We start from the raw sequence: 17,152 nt of genomic DNA, 5'->3' as shown, positions 1-17,152 counted from the left end.
CTTTGCTCTTCTGTTACACCAAGAACTCTTAGATCCATCCTTGATTCCATCCCGCCTGGGCAAGTCACCCTATACACATGTTCTAAATCCATTAGATCATTTTGGGCAACGTCTTCCTCTCATATTGGATTTGCCTTCGAAAACAGGTTGCAAAGATTCTACTTAAGCTTGAGAACCTTTGGACTTCTCACTTCTATCTCATTTCTAAAATCAAAGCTAAAGATACAGCCTCCTTACATAAGAATCATCCATGATATTCCATATTGGCTCTCATTCAAATTCTTATTTAGGCATACCCAGGATCATGTGTTCATTCATTCATTCATTCACAAGGATTATTATGTTTTTGTAATTTCCCCAAGCATCAGAGTCTGACCCCTAGTGTATTAAAACCTACTTAGTACAGGCCATGTTCTAACTAATAAAATACTTTGCTTCTTTAAGCATATAACATCTTGTTTAACGAATAATTACAAGGCTGTTATGAGTTTCACAAGTTGCATGGTAATTATCTAGATTCTTACCTAATCACCCCAAATGCATACTTGCTGATACATTTTTAAAAAGATCTCTCTGTAGTCAATTATCACCCTCAATTATCTTTAACTAATCAGAATGCACCAATGAATTTTGCATCCATAATTCCTAAGGCAAGCTGTCCACATTTCTATCTTCCAGTTTCTGTGACATTCTGTTTAATTCAGACCTTTGCTGCCTAATTCATGCCTTTCTTCGCATCAAGGTTACTAGCTAAATTATTTCTTAAACTCCTAACTGACCGTTAATCTTAACATAGGCCTTCGGGTCTAACCAACAATGTATCAGGAAGCCTGAGTGTCATATTTCAGCAGTATTCTCTTAGTTTACATCACAGACACAATTTGGGGGCTTGAAGAGGAAAAAAGAAAAATAGCAAATTTAGGATGTTTAATCTTAATAACTAGTCCTAAAAGCAAGAAAAAAAATAATGTTTGAATGTGGGATTACATAGAAGAAACTATTGGTGTTCTGATTTTGGAATTAAATAACAGAACATTTATGAGGAAAATGTGGTTCACAGTGAACTATAATGAACATTTGGGATGCACCCATTATTAAGTATTGCTTTTAAGTATTGTTAATGTCCTTCTGAGATGACACCTCGATCCACTGTGAAATTGGAAAACTGCTATGGAATAGGATTTTGAAGCCTCCTGTTTTTTAGTACCTGGTGCAGAAAGAGCCGGCCCACAGCACAGATTGTCAGCTATAACACCTTTTTTTTTGGTATTAACCCATTTTAATGAAATATTCGGAAGAGGCAGATCTATAGAGAAAGAAAATGGATTTGTGGTGACAGGGTCTGAGCGGCAGGGGGAAGTGGAAGGTACCTGCTTAATAGATACAGTTTCCTCCTGTGGTTACGAAAATGGTCTGGAACTAGACAGTGGGGTTGGTTACATAACATTGTGAACCTACTAAATGCCATTGTATTGTATACTTAATATGATTATTATGATACGTTTTGTGTTCATGTGTATTTTTTTAAAAAAATTTTATTTCCATAGGTTTTTGGGGAACAGGTGGTATTTGGTTACATAAGTAAGTTCTTTAGGGGTGATTTGTAAGACTTTGGTGCATCCATCAGCCAAGCAGCATACACTGAACCCAATTTGTAGTCTTTTATCCCTCGCCCCCTTCCCATCCTTTCCCCCGAGTCCCCAAAGTCCATTGTATCATTCGTATGCCTTTGCATCCTCATAGCTTAGCCCCCACTTATGAGTGATAACAAATGATATTTGGTTTTCCATTCCTTAGTTACTTCACTTAGAATAATAGTCTCCAATCCCATCCAGGTTGCTGTGAACGCCATTAATTCACTCCTTTTTATGGCTGAGTAGTATTCCATCATATATACATACCACGGTTTCTTTAACCATTTGTTGATTGACGGGCGTTTGGGCTGGTTCCACATTTTTGCAATTGCGAATTGTACTGCTATAAACATGTGTGTTACAAGTATCTTTTTCACATAATGACTTTATAGCACCTTTTTGAACTAAATAATTGACTTTGGAATTTATTTTTGTTGGTGTTGCAAAGGAAGCAACTCAGATCCAGCATTACGCTCCCTCTGAGCAGAGCATTGAGGATAAAATTGACTAACAGAAAGACTACACTAGCCTTGGCTCCCTGGCATGGTAATTGGTCGACCTAGGGCCAAGTTGTATACAGTCTTTGAGCTATAGACTTTTCAGCATGGCTGTAACAGCTGTGTGAACTTGGGCAAGATATTTAACATGTTTGACTCTGTTTTCTCATCTGTAAAATAGGGCTATTTATGTAGAATCCCTAGTTCTTTGATCAATGTGAAAATTAAATAAGATAATACATGTAAAGATCCTACAAAGTAAAATTATGCTGTTAATAAAATATTATTATTAATATAGTATAATAAAAATATTATTATGCTCTTAGTAAAGAGCATAATAAGAAAGTAAAAGAGCATAATAATATTTTACTTACTCAAATAATAGAATTGGTATAAAGCTCAAATGAGTTTTGGCATCCATAAATGAGGAAATAATCAATGTGTTCTATCCCATAGGATAGCTGCGAAAATAAACATGTTAATATATGCAAAGCATTCATAACAGTGCTGAGCACATGGAAGGTGCTCAGTTAATGAGGTAGTAATACTTGATCTACCTTGCAGGGTTGTTACAAAGGATACAAGAAGTAATGTATAACTTTAAGTTACCTTGAAAATTTAGAGAAACACATAAAAATTATCTAACCAAAATGTTAGTTTTGAGGCTTTTGCCGGGTGTTTTATGTTCCCATTATTTTTTAAGAAAGTTTTATTTTGGTTTTAATTGACAATAATCATACACATTTATGGAGTACAATATGATGTTTTGATACCGCTACTTTTCAAAGTCTTTCTTGACAACTAAATCTGTTTAAAAACTAATGTTATGACTGAGAATTTACAGATATGGATTTTTTTAAACTGTGCTCAGAGGAACCCCCTCTGTAGCTGCCAAAGAGAAAGATATAGGAGGGTGTATACATTAACCACATCCACAGTAATGCTGCACAACAAACAAAAACCCAAATAGTGGCATACAACAATAAGCATTTATTTAGCTCATGCATCTGTGATCAACCAAGGGCTGGCTTATCTCACTGGACTCGGCTAGATGGTTTTATTGACCTTAAATGGAGTCACTCATGCTTCTGGGTGTTAGCTGGGAGTTGGATGCTCTAAGCTGGGGTCTCAAGAGCAGGTTGGCTGGGGCAGCTCTGCTCCATATGTGCTCCATCTTTCTCCTGGGCTAGCCTGGTCATGTTCTTCTCATCATGATAGAAGACATATAAGTGAGCAAACATTTTAAATCTTTTGTCATTTAACATTTACTAATATTCTCTTGGTCAAAGCAATTCCACAGACAAACTTAAAGTCAAGTTTTAGGAAAACGCAGTCCACTTCTTTAATGGGAAAACTTCAAAGTCACATGGCTAGAGTCAGATATTCAAAGAGAGGAGAATTGAGGCCATGAATGTAATTTATCATTGTAGAAGAACATGGTGACTGGCCAGACCTTTGGAAACCCCACATCTGCTGTAATAATTTGTATGTTTTATCGGCATATACATGTTGATAACATATAAATTTAATTAGGAGTACCCCAGCTATAAAAGACTTGAACACAGTTCAGAGAAATTTTAAAAACAAAATTAACATATACTATTTGGATGATATGGAATTAGTACTAAAAAAAATAAGCTTTGATAATGAGGGCCTAGCCATATCCATGGGATGTTCCACTGGAAAATTGTTGGGAAGTTAGAAGAAAGTGTAAAAGCTCAGGGCATTGGCCATCTGGTAGGGTAGCGCATTGAACAATGAAGAAAGGCTAAAAGTGAAAGATGATTAGCAATTTTTAAAAAGCCAAACTTTGGCCCAAAGACAGCCCTAAAGGCAATTTTCTGTCAAACCTATCTGGCCATCTAATGTCATTAAAATGGAAATGCTGATGGTATTTTCAGTGAAAAAATTTTCCTCTTGAGATAAATATATAGCTACCTCTGCAACAGCTGAATTTTATTAAGGAAGTTCCAAAAATATTAGGTTGGTGCAAAAGTAATGGAGGTTTTTGCCATTAATAGATGCTTACCTTCAAAGTCAGAATGTTCAAGTTTATTCTCTCTCTCCTTTGGGCACCTGGACAAATAAAGGCCAAGAAAACCAAAACAAATGATAAAATGAGAAATGGGCAAACAACCTTTTGTTCATTCAGATTCAAAAAAATCTCTTGAACTGGTTTCAAAATATTTGATTCAGAAAACCTAAACCATGTTTGTCAACTGCATTCTTGTTCTCATTTAAAAAGAAAAAGAAAAAGACAAAAGGGCCTCCTATCTTCCCATGAGTATAATGGTGGAAATTCAACCTGTATGTTTTCTGATTCATTTACACTTATCTCATCAAAATATTTTGTAAGAGCTGAGCTCTTTGGTGGCCAAAGATGTTTTGTGGTCCTTTTCCCTTGCAACAGAAATATTGTGGTTTATCATCAGCTTACACAAATTCAAAAGAAGGTTGAGGAACACTCCTAAATTTATTATCTCATAAGGCTGGAGTGAGTTATAAGCTTGGAAAATCTGTTTTCCTAAACTGGCTTCCTCTATCTCATAATTTATCATAATATTTCAATTCTACCTGTACGGTGCTGATCTCATTTTCACCATTCACGTTAGTACCAATGCTCTCACTGATAAGGACAAACCAAATAGCAAAGGATCAAAGTCTCAGAAACGATCCAGGAAAGAAAGGAGGAGGCTTTGTGCAAAAATTTCCGAGAAATTTTGGAGGAATATGAATGTTTTGGAGTGTAGTATGATTCTGTAGTCAGATTTCAAAGGTAAAGAGCATGTCTTCTATTCATCAAAACTCAAACGGAATGGCTGGGCTTTTCATTACGTTTTGGGGCCCAGAATTAATGCCAAAACCTAATATGCATTTATCAAAAGAAAAGAGAAATTTTTCCTTTGTTTTATGTAACTGATCTGTGGCCCTGTCCAGTGAGGTGAACAGCTTTTACTAATAACATGTCAGGGGGAGATTTTAGGGAAATGCAAACAAAGTCAGAATAGAAATCATTCTACAGGTAGAAGCAATAGAGAACATAATTGAGCAATGGTACAATAAGGGAGCAAACCCAGGTTATGAGACACCATATACATGATTTTTCTATGCAGCATATACTGCTGAAAATTAAGTCAAAATATTTATGATGAATTCATTTATATTATTACTTTGTCTTATGATATTCACTTAGAGTAAGAAAAGCTTAATAACAGGTAGACAAAGTCAATAGTGATACAATTGTTGACTTTTCTTCTTTTATGTTACCCATCCATTGATAGGCAATGCTCTTAGTCCTACATTCTCAAAAATCATGTAATCTCTGATCTTGAGTTGCTACCTTTTGTTATTTTCAAGCCTAACATTGTATACAAGTCCCCATCCCACATCTTCAGGTAACTCTCAGTAATATCAGATAAAAGGGTTCCTTTGGTTTTGGACTGCATCAACAAAAGAAGCCTTCTTCAAAGCTGGTCAAGTGACTTTCTTTGCTCTTTTTCCCACGAACTAATTTTCTTTGCTCCAGTGATGAATAAAGTTAAACTCAAAGTTTCATAACAAGAAAAATTCAATGATGAAAGTTATCTTCTCATCCCAGGTATATTGTTTCAATTTGGTGAGGAGCACTGGGGACAGCAAGTTTGCGATTCTTTTTTTTTTTTTTTTTGAGGCAGAGTCTCGCTCTGTCGCCCTGGCTGGAGTGCAGTGATGCCATCTCGGCTCACTGCAACCTCCGCCTCCTGGGTTCAAGCAATTCTTCTGCCTCAGCCTCCTGAGTAGCTGGGATTATAGGTGCCCGCCACAACACCTGGCTAATTTTTTGTATTTTCAGCAGAGACGGAGTTTCACCATGTTGGTCAGGCTGGTCTCAAACTCCTGACCTTGTGATCCACCCGCCTCGGCCTCTCAAAGTGCTGGGATTACAAGCATGAGCCACCACACCCGGCCTCTTTTTAAAACACCATCCACACAGAAATCAGGACTTTGGAGGCATGAATCCACCAGAATGCAAGCACTGTTTGTTTTGTTCAGTAGGGTACCTACAGTATCTAGAACAGCGTTGCTATGGTTTGAGTTTTCCCCTCCAAAATTCATGTTGAAATTTGATCCCCAGTGTGGAGGTGTTGGGAGATAGGGCCTAATTGGAGGTGTTCCGGTCATTAGGGTGGATCACTCATGAATAAATTAATATCCTCCTATGGGAGCAAGTGAGTTCTCACTCTCATGCATCTGGATTACTTAATGGAGAGAGAGTTGTTATAAAAGTGAGTTCAGCTTCCAGAACTTTTGCTTCCTCTATCAGTGATCTCTTTGCACACCTGCCCACTTTCCTGCTTCCACATCGTGTTTTGACCCAACATGTGCCCTTCCCCAGAAGCTGGCCAGATGTGGTGCTATGCTCTTGAACTATTGCAGCCTGCAGATTCATAAGCTAAATAAACCTCCTTTCTTTATAGATTACTTAGCCTCGGGTATTCTCTTATAGCAACATAAAACAGACTAAGACAAGTGCCTAGCTTATAGTAGGTGCTCAATAAATACTTGTTACATAAAAAAGTTAATTCTAAGAGAAATTCCAAGGAGATCAACAGGTCAGTACCCACATGACCTTAGAGCTTAAACTTCTTTTCTCATTATAATTTCCACCACCCAGCATTTGACCATGAGTGCCCTGGAATTGACCCATCCTCATAAGCCCTCTTCCTTCTTGGGTGTTAAATGACAATAAGGCTCTTGCCATTCCCTGCTATTTCAGACATATACTTTCAGGGCTGCATCTTGGATCTTGTCATCATCTCAAATTCTTTCACTTTCAAAATCCTCATTCATGAGTTCCTTTTCTCCCAACTTGCTTTACAGTCACTTCCACTATGACAGCTTTTCAACTTCATCAGGACCTCCAGTACCCTGGACCACCTGCATTTCCAAATCCATCCATCCCTTTATTCAGTTCCTTCTATATACAGCTTCAACTCCTACTTTCTGTTTTATTTTTGCCTACTGCCAAGCAACCAAGAGATGCTAGGAAAAATACTGCATGATAGGGCAAATATAATCCATTAAAAATATATGGTCACCCAATTTAAATGGACCCATAACCTTGCTCAGCAATTCTACTACACTCTTGGTACTGGAAATGTCACCTAAAGACCAACAACATCGGTATCACCTAGGAACTCAACAGAAATGAAGAATCTTGGGTCTTATCTCAGATCTACTAAATCAGGATAGAAATTTTAAACAAGATCCTCAGCTGATTCACATGCGTAAGAAAGTTTCAAAGCACTATACTAGACCATCTATTATCTTTTTCTCTTATGTAATCAAGATCTTCATCTCAGCTGGATTCTTCCCATGGAAAGAAGACATGCTCAATGCCTATAACTACACATCTCCCTTGAACTACTGTTCTTTCTCTTCCGTCATTTATGGCCAGCTTACTCAAAAGAGATATGTATAATCACCAACACCATTTCTTCCTCTAACACTCCTCTGAAGCAAATTCCTGTCTGGCTCCAATTCTTATCACTTTATGGAGACAACTTTTGATAAGTTTGCTGGTAACATCCATGTCACAATACCTAATGCATGTTTATCAGTTTTTATCTTACTTGATCTCTGATGAGCATTTTGACATTGTTAACGTTTCCTTCCTTTTCTAATAGCTGTCTTCCCTCCACTGCTACATCACACACTCTTGGTTTTCTTTCTATCCATGTAGTCACATACTCTTTCTCTGTCTCTTCCATAGGCTCACTGCCAGCCCCTCAACATTGTATTTTAACATCTAGCAGAGTGCCTGCCACCAAATAGTAAATCAATAAACAATTATTGGATGAATGAATGAATGTGTTCTGTATTGAAGAGGTGCCTATTGTACTCCAGAGGCCACTCTTCTATTTGCTATTTGTCTCTACTACTCAGTTTGAAACATAGCCCCCTGCTGTTGTGTATTAACCTTAAATCTTCTATATTTCTTGTCTTTTTAATTAGGTATTACATTTCTTAAGGATAATGCACTGAGTATTACAAATCCTTATTATTTACTCTTTTAAAAATCCTTCATAACCATTAAAAACATCCTTTTCTTCAGTAGCATTGATAGTGCATGGAAAGGAGAGAGAGCCTGAGAAGATGAAAAAAGTTATTCATTTAATTTTTCCAGAAAATTGTTTGAGAAATAAAAGCCATTGGCCTGTGTTGTTGAATGATACATGCTAAGCCATCTTACAGATTTCAGACCCATAGATATTGTAATTGAAATAGATTTGAGCAATCATCCACCCAACCTCTTCATTTCCAAACTAGACAATGGAAACCCAGACAGACAAAATCATCTGGTACATGCAGCAGTTTTTGTAAGATAAAATGGATGTAACAGAAACAGTATGAGCTATTCTTTAAAGTCTGTCTCTGAAAATCATAATGAAAACTTTTTTCTATCAGAAGTAATTCTTTCACAATTCTAGGAAAATAAAACCAGGCAAGCAAACATATTTGGCACCCAAACTAAGTTGGGCTTTCTAAAACCAGGTACGTTTCCCTGAAAGCTTTGGTGTCTATGTAGAAAATGTTTGATTTGGTAGTAGGTAGTAGGAATATCCCAGTACGTATGCCTATTTCTTCAAATTGTTGTTTTCTCATATACCTAATAATTAATTAAATTTACAAAGGATAACCCGATTGAAGTAATGTTGATAATTCTGCATCATTGTGAATCAGTGTCTGTCACTCTTCTGAACTGCGTGGAAGGCTGAATCATATGGAAGCAGTAAAAACTTCACCAAAAATGTATTGGTGAGATGTTCTCACTTCATTTTCTGAAAGTATGGATCCAGTATCCAATACAATTTCCATCAATGTTGAAATTCACCAGCGAAGGAAGAGAGAATATTACACATCTGCACTGTAACAGCCTCGCCACTTAAAAGGTGACCTGTGCCACCAGTGGTATCTGCCTCGTCTGGAAGTTTGTCAGAAATGGGACCTGGAAATCTGTTCTTTAAAAGCCTTTCAGGCAATTCTTGTATATGCAAAAGCTTCAGAAACACTGTGTCGAAACACAAGTTTCTATAACATCAATTAGCTCACCATGTGGAGGTTGTACTGATTCAGATGCAGTTTTGTTAGGCAATAGGAGAAAGAAATAGTGAAATGAGAATCATAAACTTTAGCAGAAAGGAAAAAATTCCCTCAGCTCATCTATAGAAGAAGTAGAAACACTTTCAGAAAGCTCTATTATTATTATTATTTTCTTTTTTTTTTTTTTTTTTTTTTTTGAGACAGAGTCTCGCTCTGTCACCCAGGCTGGAGTACAGTGGTGCGATCTCACCTCACTGCTGCAAGCTCCGCCTCCCGTGTTCATGCCATTCTCCTGCCTCAGCCTCCTGAGTAGCTGGGACTACAGGTGCCCACCACCACGCCTGGCTAATTTGTTGTATTTTTAGTAGAGACGGGGTTTCACCATGTTGGCCTGGATGGTCTCGATCTCCTGACCTCGTGATCCACCCTCCTTGGCCTCCCAACAGAAAGCTCCATTTTTAAAAAAATTAAAAATGAATGCTTCATTCAGGGCCTCCTTCCAGAAAAACACACACACTGACCTTAAAAAATTAAAAATGAACGCTTCATTCAGGGCCTCCTTCCAGAAAAACACACACACTGACCTTGGCAGTTGCATTTCCTCCTGTTCTCACCTTTAAGCAGCCCAGCTGATCAGAGCTCCTCTTCCATTTGCGTTGCCTCACTGCCTGTGTTTCCATTTTACTTACTCTGTGCATTTTTAATATTCTGTGAAGCAGCTCCAGGCATGCTGAGTTGCTGCCTGCCAGTGTCCAAGGTACCAATATTCATTTTTGTGAGTGTTCTGGTTATAAAATTGCATAAGTTGTGTGTGGTCTCCCCAGCTCTATTTCCCCCAAGAGTCTTGTTATTTTTACCATATAATTTTGCACAAAAAAGTTTTTTTTTAATTTTTCAGGAATACAAATATTGTGTATAGTAGAAATCCTAGTGCTTATATGAAATGTGAATAATTTTTTCTATAATAATAAACTACATTGATAAAAAATCAGATCTTACTTTTCTACTAGTCACATAGAAAGTTAATAGCTGCCATAAATGACTACTAATTCAAATAAGTGTTACTGTTAAATCGTGTATATGTATACTCATATCTTACCTGAATATAGCTTTTGAGCTTTGTTCCAAGAACTGTAACATCAGAATGAAAAACTTAAAAGTCACCTTATTTAACATTTTGAGACACTTAGAAACATCTATTTTTTTAATCTAGATGTTTGCAAACACACAGACACAACTGAAAAAACACTTAATAGAAAAACGGATGTAATGCAGTTAACAATGTCTGTTAATAAGTAGGCACCAGGAGGAATGCAGAATTTACAAATTGAGCACTCCAGGTTAAAAAATATAACTGAAACCAAAATGGAAATAAAAATAATATTCAATATTATATTTGAACGAATCAATATCATTCAAAGAAATCTAGTCATTTAGATCTTGCACATCAGAAAATGAAGGCTAAATTTTCTTAAAAGTTACTTGTTCTGGCAAGAATATACCATCCGTATTTCCTTAAAGTGTAATTTAAATTTTCTAATTGAAAAAACTTGTATATATTTATTGGGTACAACATGATGTTCTGAAATACGCATACATTGTTGAATGGCTCAACTAAGCTAATTAACATATGTATCATCTCACATATTTTTTGTAGTAAGAACATTAAAAATCTACTCAGCCATTTTCAAAATACAATACAATATTATTAACTATAGTCACCATGTTGTACAATAGATTTCTTGAATTTATTCCTTCTAACTGAAATTTTGTATCATTTGGCCAACATCTTTCCAACCCCCGACCCCAACCACTGATAATAACCACCATTCTTTTCTCTAACTCTATGAGTTTAACACTTTCAGATTTCAAATATAAATGAAATCATGTGGTGTTTGTCTTTCTGTGCCTGGCTTATTTCATTTAACACAACGTCCTCCAGATTCACCAATACAGTCACAAATGACAGAATTTCCTTCTTTTATAGGGCTTCACACTATTTCATTGTGTATATGTGTCACATTTTCTTTATCTCTTCATCCACTGATGTACACTTAGGCTGATTCCATATCTTGGCTATTGTGAATAATGCTGCAATGAACATGGGCGTGCTGATATCTCTTCAAAATATGAATTTCATTTTCTTTGGATATATATTTAGTAGTGAGATTTATGATGTTAGGGATCAAGTTCATTATTCTGCATGAGGATATACAGTTTTTCCAGCACTGTTTATTGAAGAGACTGCTGTTTCCTCATTGTGTGTTCTTGGCACCTTTGTCAAAAATCAATTGAGCATAAATGTGTACATTTATTTTAGGGCTCTCTATTCTGTTCCATTGGTCTATGTGTGTTTTTTATGTCGGTATCAGACTGTTTTGATTATTATAGCTTTGTAGTATATTTTGAACTCAGGTGGTATGATGCCTCCAGCTTTGCTCTTTTTGCTCAAGATTGCTTTGGCTATTCAGGGTCTTTTGTTGCTGCATATGAATTGTAGGATTGTTCTTTTTCTATTTCTGTGAAGAATGTCACTGGTATTTTGATAGGGATTGCATTGAATCTGTAGATTGCTTTGGGCAGTATGGACATTTTAACAACATTAAAGATAACTTTGGATAGTATGAACATTATAACAATATTAATTATTCCAATCCATGAACATGGGATATCTTTTCATTTATTTGTGTCTTCTTCAATACAATTCTTGTTTAATTTACTGTCAGGCTAGTCCGATTGGTAGATTATACAATATAATAATTTACTTGAAAAATAAAAGAACCATACATTTTAATAGATCTAACAATCCAGAAGAAATAATTTTATGATTCATGGAATTAAGAACATTTTGGCCGGGTGCAGTGGCTCATGTCTGTAATCCCGGCACTTTGGGAGGCCAAGGTGGGTGGATTACTTGAGGTCAGGAGTTCAAGACTGGCCTAGCCAACACGGTGAAAGCCAGTCTCCACTAAAAATACAAAAATTAGTCAGGCATGGTGGTGTGCACCTGTAATCCCAGCTACTCGGGAGGCTGAAGCAGGAGAATTGCTTGAACCTGGGAGGCGGAGGTTATAGTGAGCCGAGAATGTGCCATTGCACTCCAGCCTGGGTGACAGAGTCAAATTCCGTCTCAAAAAAAAAAAAAAAAAGGAATGTTTTGTGTTGGAGGCAACTTCAGAGACTCTCTAGTTCAACATTTTTTCCTTAAGGATTACTTAAAAATGTTTCTGACAGATAGTGACCCAGCTTCTTCTTGAACACAAACACTACAGATTTGTGTGTGTGTGTGTGAGAAACTCTATTTGGGGGAATGCTTCATTTCTTAGTTTTTCCTTCCATTAAGACAAAACATGACTCCTCATATCTTCTAGTTATTAATCCTAGTATTACTTCTTTATAATGTTACATTGATGAATCTAATTCTTTTTCCATAGATTGCTTTAAGTGTTTGAGATAATTATGATTAGATTCCTCAGCCTTTGAATTTTTCAACTGTCCATCATCTGTCTCTATTTTTTTAAACTATAAATAATGTTCAGTCATCACCACCTGCTAGCCCTTTTCTGTATGTGGTTCAATTTAAAGTCAATGTATTTCTAAAAATGCAGCATTAGAATTAAACACAAAATTAAAGATGTGATCTTTCTGATAGGGGGTACAAATATTCTGTTATCTGCCTACTTCTAGACTAGTAAACTTCCATCCAAGCTGTTTAGTGTTAGCTGTTTTTAAATTTACCATATTAAAATACTATTCATAAGTTCCTTACAGTTATCTAAAACCTCCAGGATTATTACTAAATTATTATAAATTATTACTATGCTATTAACTTTCTGATACTGTGTAAGTTAATAGCCGTTTGTAATGCTATTAAGGATATTGAGACTGTCTTCTCACCCATCCACCCCGCTAAAAAAAAGCTGAAAGTGGTTCATTAAGAAAACTTATTTTGGGCTGATTATCTTCCCTACTCTTTTTCTTGGAACGAGGCAATGTAGACGGTCATGTTTTTTCCCACCATATAATTATTTCATGCACATTACTTTACCTGGCCTACAGAAATATCCATGAGGATCTTTACTAAAATATTTGTATAAATAAGATTTAAAGCATTTGTTCAATCTATCAATATAGTATTACTTGAAAGAAAAGAAAATGGGAAGGAAGGAAGGAAGGAAGGAGAGGGAGGGCAGGAAGGAAGAAAACAGGAGGAAGGGCAAACATGTGTCAGGTTTCAAAAGATTGGATGTTAGTAAACCCTTAGCAGCCCCTAAAGATCCTCGCTTTCTTTCTAAGTGTTCATTAAATAGGCAGTTTAAAAAAAAAGTTAAAGCAAACACATAAACAAAAAACAAAGAAAACAAATAAAAAGTTAGTACTTTTTATAAAGCATCACATTTCCAGATTAATAACCTTGGTTAAAAACTTTGCATTCTTGTTCATTTTCAATTTTTGTACTCAAAGAAGTATAGCCTTTGAGAAAAAGGATACAAAAGTCACAGACAAAGGTAAACCTCCTAGGATCACCCCTTGAAAGAGAAAGCCAAGCCCTCACCCCAAAATTCACTTGACCGCCACTTTTGGACAGGGAACTGAACTAAAGAAGTGACTAAAATTGCAGTAGGTAGAAATATATTAGCAAGCAGAACTATTTGCACATTGTATGTAGCCAATTAGTTCGTATTCTGAATAGCACTTTTTGAAGAAGAACAAGTCACAGTATCATGATCTTTTCTTTAGATCCCTTTCATTTGTCATTTTTGCCTTGGGACAATCTGAGCTAATCCTCAATCAAGGCAATAATGTTAGATAATGTTTGTGATTTTATTTCTCAGGTAAAATTTCAAATACCTAACATAATACATATTATATTTAGGATTATTAAGGAGATATAAAATAGCATTTAGGTCTTGTTATCTGATTCTACATGTGATTCTTAAAGAACCCAGCTTTGCTACCAAAGGGAGGAAAGTATTTTATTACTTAGAGAAAATTCAAATTTGAGTCTTCTCAGTGCAAAGTCAAGTTGAGGGTCATGTAGTCATGGGAGATTGGTTGATGGTCAAGAAGGCTTTCAAAGTTTTAGAATTATGTAGAGAGTGTGTTGACTTGTGTGAACTGAAAATAGCAGGACACAGATTATAGATAAAATATAATAGCAAAATGATGGTTAAGAACTTGTACTATAAAGTTAGACTATCTCAGTTTAAATCAGAGCTTCACTACTTACTTTGTCACACTAGGCAGGTTATTTTAAAATCTCTATGCCTAAATATACCCACCTGCAAAATGGGATAATAATGCTACCAACCTCATGTATTGTTCGGGGGATTAAAATGATTTAATGCACATAAAGTACTTAAACAGTATCTAGTATACCATAAACATTCAATAATGGTAAGCTGTATTCCTACAATTTTAACCATGTAACTTATGCTTTTAAAAAGAGTAGACAGAAAGACATATAAATCTGTGTACAATGTTTTGCAATGTCTACAATGGTTTATACAATAAGTTCCAATTGTTTATTCAATGGCTTTTGTAATTGTGTATAAAAGCACATGTTGCTTTTATAATCGGGGTAGGGTAGATGGGTAGGTATTTAGCAAAAATGTTTGTTATTCTTCTTTACTCCAGAGTTTTGTCTTTGGGGTTATATGTGTATTAAGATGATATTTAATGATCGGCTTTGTCAGTGGTAACTAGGCACAACAGCAACAGAAAAAAAAAAACCAGCTTATGCAACTCAAACTCACATGAGACTGATTTGTGTCAAAGAACCAACAGAGTAATTTATGAGGCTCTGACTGCCAAACAGACTGATATTCATGTTGGCTATTCAACACATTCTCTTCTTAGTAGAGAAATTTACTCCAGAAATGACATGAAGATCAAGCTGCCTGGTGAGTAAGAACTGGGAAGAAATCTACAGCAATAGCCCCGCTCACGCAACCAGAGGTTCTACCAGTTAGTTAGGATAACTTCTTCCCTGAAGGGCCATGAAGACATACTCCTTCAGTCTTTTCCAAGTTTTCTTTTCAGTTATTGGATAATATCAACATCAGTGTCTTCTGTTTACTTCAGAGAGAACAGCTCTAATCATTTGTCTTCAATTGCAATTGACCTCCTATCAAGAAAGCTGTGACTGTACCTCCTAAGACACTAATGGAACCCTTGGTTCACCATGGTTCCCAAAGAGTAAAGATAATGTCTCTAAAGAAATGATCCTATCCCATTCATTATTTGCTATGCTGTGCCATAAGATGTATCGCTAAATGTCTTTACACATAATCACAAAATAGAGAATTAAAGATATCTCTAACAAAGATATACAAATGCACATGGATGGAAATGTTTATAAAGTGATGAATTCAACAACAATCTCAGTATATCTGAGTACCTTCATTATTTCCAGAAGCTCTACTAATCTTAAATTCTGCAGATGCATAAAAATTTATTCTGAAATCTGAAGGTGTTGAATTCACCTCATGAACTCACCCTACCTGCCTTCCATCACAGACCACAGATTGAGCAGCTCATCCTTCTAAAAGATAAGAATCTGAAAATCCATACACTTGATAGGAGAAAGGTACAAATGAGATGCATGGAAAAATATGTCCACAGACAAATTAACTGACCAAAATACAATGGGAGGAGAGAGAGGTTAACACTGGCCCAGTGAGATTTCAGCCTCAACAGCGTTAGACAGTATACTGAAATATTACAACAATGATATGGCTCATGCTGAATCACAAGAAAAAGAATATCTGAGTAATTATTCTGAATGTTCTTCATTTTAAAAAATTACATGCAGAAATATTCAGAAAATTCTGGAAAATTAACACTATTTTTTGTATGTTTGTAAATATTTCCCAAAAAATCTCCAGGATGTATGGTCTTCTCATTTTTGATTTGGTTAAATATGCCAGTCACACTTCAACCAAAGCTGTTTGCATATTACACAAATAAATCTTAATACCCCCCACACACTTGCATTTGAGAAAATGTTCAAATACCAGATGAAGCCAACTGTTAAATAACAAATCATAATATTTGTTAACTAACTTTTAAATTGACCTGCTGTTTTTCCCCTCTAAGCTAAATGAGTTCCCTGTATCATTATTTTGCATGTGCTCGAGAAACACATTGTGTAATGTCTACAAAAACATGGCTGAAGGTTTTTAAGTTCTTAATTTTAAAAAAACTAGTGACACTACTGGAGAAATAAACATGATGTCTAGGAACGGGCTCTTTTAACAAATATGAGGAACAATTTTCAAGTTGTTGTAAGTGATTCAAAATTCTCAACTTACATAACACTGATCACTTTGCAAAGAGTTTAGGAAACATAACACATTCAGCTTTGGACATTTCACAAGGCAAAATGTCAGATCCCCTCAAACCAAATATGATAAAGGCAAGCACTTTATTTTCCATAGATCATAATACAAAACAGTTCATGGATTTCAAAGGGAAACTAGGGGTCCCAGTGTTTTTGTGTGTAATGGGCCAGATGCTGCTTCTGTGCCCAATTTTGGGGCAACCTCCCTGAGAGATTTTTATGCAATTCCCTAAACTGGATGAATATTTGTTCTCCTAGACTCTCACACCAGTTTATTTTCCCAGTGGTAAAAAATATTTTTTGTGTGCCTACTTGTGTACTTCATCTCTTCCTTAGTAGATGGGATGCTTTTAACAGCTGAAACCCTGTCCTATTCATTTATAACAAGGCTTCCTAGAGGTTTTCCATTGGCAGAGATATTCAGTAGTTTACCTTTCAACCCCCCAGCCACCTCATGCTTCATTTTATTCCTCGCTCATTTTGATATCTTTGTACATCCTGCTCCTCTTCTCCAAAAGATTGCTCATTTCCCACACTCTATTAGCCTCGTTCACACACATACTCTACTTCAGCACTTCTCATGTTTACGGTACTTT

General features: G+C 36.0%; 1 long non-coding RNA gene across 2 annotated transcripts in view; it reads right to left on the bottom strand.

Annotated features, from left to right (window-relative positions):
• LINC01483 (long intergenic non-protein coding RNA 1483) overlaps positions 1 to 17,152 on the bottom strand; it is a 309,014-nt gene that overhangs the window by 53,354 nt on the left and 238,508 nt on the right. For both annotated transcript variants that reach the window (NR_109971.1, NR_109972.1), the window contains exon 4: positions 4,161 to 4,207. This is a non-coding gene — a long non-coding RNA (long intergenic non-protein coding RNA 1483). The remainder of the gene's footprint in view (positions 1 to 4,160; positions 4,208 to 17,152) is intronic.

Source organism: Homo sapiens, chromosome 17 (assembly GCF_000001405.40).
Source record: "Homo sapiens chromosome 17, GRCh38.p14 Primary Assembly".
Taxonomy (NCBI): domain Eukaryota; kingdom Metazoa; phylum Chordata; class Mammalia; order Primates; family Hominidae; genus Homo; species Homo sapiens.
This window is presented reverse-complemented; position numbering and strand designations above follow the sequence as displayed.